General features: G+C 42.2%; 1 pseudogene; it reads right to left on the reverse strand.

Annotated features, from left to right (window-relative positions):
• Positions 1,187-1,706, reverse strand: COX5BP1 (cytochrome c oxidase subunit 5B pseudogene 1; annotated as a pseudogene).

Here is a 4,512-nt window from a genome sequence, read left to right on the forward strand (position 1 = left end):
TGGCTGGGCTTCTATACCATATTAAATTCCACAAACATCCGTGAATATGGCCTTTGTATACAACTCAAAGTCATGACAGTCAACATGACTTAAAGGAAAAGCCCTCAATTTCTATAGGGGATTAAAAGCCAATTCAATTATAAAGAAATGCCTTCTTCATTTGACATTAAATGAGCTCTTGGGTCTTGGCAGAATGGAGAGTGGGCTTAATAAAGATCATCTGTGTTGCACATTCCATGCTATGGAGTGGGTCTCCTATTTACAATCTGGAGGACTTCTAAAAATTTCTTTCATAAGTTAGGTGTTAAAGACTAGAGTTTACTTTCCCCATAGAGATAATTTTATAGGCTACACCATAAAGGCCTATTTAATCACTAATATAACTGGAATGCTATGTAATTGCAATAAAAAGCAGTAAACTACCACACTACTGACAATTACAGCAGAAAATAATAAAAATCAATTAAGAACCTGTTTCACTTTCTCCATATATCTTGAATAATAGTGTAAAACAAAATGTATATTTAATTTGAAGAAGATGAAGACCAAGGTAGAAATTCTGGAATTCTGAAGAGGCCTTTAAAGAAATTTCAAGACATGGTATTCACAGCTAATGTGTCTGATGCCGCGCCCTTCCCTCCCAAGTGGATGGTTTTGCTTTTCTCAGTTCACGTGCATCACCAGCATTGCTCTGATCTTTAGCAGCTATGAATAGGGTCACTCAGGACTCCTAGTGGTAAGGAGCAGTAAGGGAACTAAAAAGGCTATTAGACGGCTCCCTGAGGCAGGCACACTGGCCCAGGCCAGCTCTCACCAGAGATGGACTATTGCCTATTTTCACCTGTCCCCTAGCTTGGAAAATGCAGAAATGGGGAGAAAATGAAAAGGGAAAAAACTAGCTTTTCTCAAAAAATTGAGCAAAAATTCAAAAAGAAAGGAAAGATAAGGCAATGAAAACTATTCTACATGAATAACTGCCTCAAAAGAAAGAAGGAAAGTCATGGAGAAGAGGTAAGTAGGTCAGAAATTTGCCTAAGTCAGACTTTAGCTGGCATTAGTGTCCAAGAACCCCAAGATTGCTCTCTGGAACTAATGAATGGCAAGAAGGAAAGGAGAGCAGAATAGCTTGGCAGTGGGGAAGGTAGAGGAGGAGTTATTATGTTGTAACTGGCACCACATATACAAGAAGCATTCACAGATAAGTTATACAGCCTGATCTGGTATATCAGCCAATACAACAGCTAGTCTTAGTTGGAAAGAAAAACTTTACAGCACATTTTGAGTAACTTAGTGCATGGGCTCAGTGGGCCACCTAGTGGGGCAGCAGCTTATAATGGGTTCCACAGCTAGGGCATTGCTGCTGGGTCTCGCCTTTGTGCAGCCAAAACCAGATGACAGCACAGTTGTCCTCTTCACAGATGCAGCCCACTATACTCTTGTTGGTGATGGAGGAAACTAAATTAGGGTCTTCCTTGGTGCCTGAAGCTGCCTTTGGGGGTCATATACTGTATAGGTCCAGTCCCTTCCCTGCAACCATCATGACCTCCATCTCCAATCCAGTCGTGTGCTCATCATCAATAGGAACACCACCTCCAGATGCCATGGAGCACACCACGGCCACCCCATTGGGACCACAGGCCCTCAGGGCCTTCGCAGCCAGTGCTCCAGCTCCACGAAGTAACCTTGAAGCCATCATGCCCGCAACTTGGGGAACGTCTGTGTAATGTTTTATTGTAGACTTCAACATATTTAAATAAAAATAGCCTAACTAACAAGGCTAACCTTGACTCCCACATACACACACATACTCAAAAGAGGCAGGAGCAGCAGAAGAAAACCTTATAAAAGAAATCCCTGATTTCCTTCTATAATTGAATTATAACAAACTGGAATTTTGACCTTAACTTTTATAAATAAGTGTTAATTAAAATAGTGTGTTCTCTAAAGTTACTCCAGAGTTCAAAACAGCAAGGGTTGAATGTGATTATGTTTTCCAAGCCTATTTATGAAAATGAGCGTTCTGACATCTAAGCCTGCAGTTGTGATTGAGTACAATGCATGCAGGATTTTAATGGAAACCAAAAGAGAATTTAAGTGGCCTCTCCCAGCAAATACGACGCATTTTCCCCACCCGTGATAGTACTCACATCGAGAAAGGGGTCCGCATTTATGATCCCTCTGCTATTTTTAGCTGAATTAGGAAATGATTCAGGTTGCTCTACCAACATCAGAGAATTCAATTTAAACCTCAAGATGAAACAGAAAAGGGAGCGCTCTTAAATATGGGCTTTGGTCTAAGCTCCCTTAATTGAACACTGCAGGGTAATGTAATGGGATCACTCTGTAAATGGGGTGATTAGCAACCCAATAACTCATGGAAGTAATAACCTGTTTGGAAGTGTCATCCCATGCTCAGAGACTGGCACAAAGGACACCTCTGAGCTGATATGACATTAATAAAGTCTCCCACATCACATCCATGTGTTGCTCGTTTTTTGGAATGACACAAGAAGAAGTGGCTAAAATGGAAAGTTCAGAAACAAGAGTGTTTGTCACTTCACAATTTGCAGGATGCTAACAATGCAGTCAAGACTGACTACACAGCATTGACAGAAGATACTCCTCTGATTTGGGAGTTGTTTTTCAATCAAATCTTCTTTAAAAGAAATCATGAAGACAGTTTAAATTCAAAAGGCCTATGACACCCCAAAATGCAATTCTTTTAGAATGTAGGACCACCACCTGCTCATCCACACTAGGGAAAGGGAAAGTATCTGACTTCCCAACAGAAATGTAAGGAGTCCTTCCTTTTAGAGGAATATCTGTACAAATGCATAGGACAAAACTCCTCTCTGGTCACTCTGGGCTGCTGTCAGGCCCTTCTAGATTCTCTTTTTCCAATTTTATTCTCTTCTCACATCTGGGGTAACTGGACAGCTGTGGGCCCAATCCTGTCTGTGGGGGATGAGTGGAGAGTTATAATCCAGGGGGCCATGGTGGGTCAGCATCAGTTGCTGCCAGACATCTGTTGTTATTGTTTGCCCTGCATCCATCCCCTTCTTTCTGGTAATAGCACTGTATCACTGCAGTAGTCAAGAACTCAGCAGGAAACACGTGGCTCTCTGGAGAGAGTTTAATCAAGCATAGTTGTACAGAGGTGCAGACAGGCTTAATGAAACCAATAAGAGATGGGGAGGCACCCCAGGCTAACAATAGTAGGAAGTGATTATCATCGCTAACCCCACACAGGCAATCTCTGAGAGAGCTTTAGCCACAGGAGAAAGTACTGCAGGGGCACAGTGGCTGCCAGCATGCAGCCCAGCAGGCGTGAAGCTGTAGGATTCTCTCCTGTCACCCTCCTATCACTTGCTGCCAGTGCCCATTGGCCAAACCAAAGTGGAAGGCAGAGGACAAGGGAGTTACGGTCTGTAGTTCATCTATTAATGGACACTTGTGTTGCTTCCAAAACCTACTGTTCTTAACCACCACAGTTAACTCATCTCCCAGATGCCTTTCTGCCTGCTGTCTACATTTACACCCTCTTCCAGGACTGCCTCATGACTCTTTCTTCCCACTGCTAGCTAGTGCCTCCATCTGGCCCACCCTTAGCACCTGTCCAGTCTTGGGGTGGGGACAGGAGGGATTTAGTTCTAGGCTTCAGTTTCTCCCTGTCTTCCCTGGTTGCCTTCACTCCTGCATGCCAGCCCTATCATGAACCACGTTAGCAACAAAGAGCAGGGTTTCTAAGGAGTGGTACTCCAAGCATACAAATTACTTAGGAGATGAATCCTTCTATCTCTTTTGAACATCCCTCTCAGGCATGTCACCGAAGCTGGGAAGCTCCTAGTTCTATTAATAACTTTACAGTACAGAGGGGAAGAAGGAGCTGTGCTCAAAATAAAACAATGAACTCAGTGCATGAACAAGTCCAAGACAAATGACTGTAATGTATTCTGGATTCATATGTCTCTAAGGCTAATTAATGTAGGAAAGTCTAATACTGAGCGTTCTCTGAAAACACAATGCCACAAAGAAAGTGTTAATAAAGGCCAGATATTTTCACATGATAAACTCCAAATCAAGGGTTATGTCTTAGAGGTCTCTACCACTCTCTGAAGATAAGCAATAGGCATTTATTTATTCATTCCACAAATGTTTTCAAGTTTTTACTCTAAAATAGGTAACAGATAAATGCAGGGGATACAATGGTGAGCCAGGCAGATACAGCTCTGTCCTCAGAAAGCCAACTAAGCCAGCTATGACTATAGTGTGATGGGCCTATTGATGTCTGTAACGAAGCAGTTGTGAAACTAAGAAAAATCCAGATGGAGGAGCTTCTTTTCCAGCTTACAAGTACTTTTTAGCTAGAGAAAAAGACATGAGTCCTGAGAGGCAGACATTTTATTTGCCACCAAAGAAATAGAAAGATGATTAAAATTGCTTAAAAAGCATTTAGAATACAATCCCACCACATTCCACTCCCCATCTTACATCCTTAAAAGAACTTCATTT

Source organism: Homo sapiens, chromosome 4 (genome assembly GCF_000001405.40).
Source record: "Homo sapiens chromosome 4, GRCh38.p14 Primary Assembly".
NCBI lineage: Eukaryota > Metazoa > Chordata > Mammalia > Primates > Hominidae > Homo > Homo sapiens.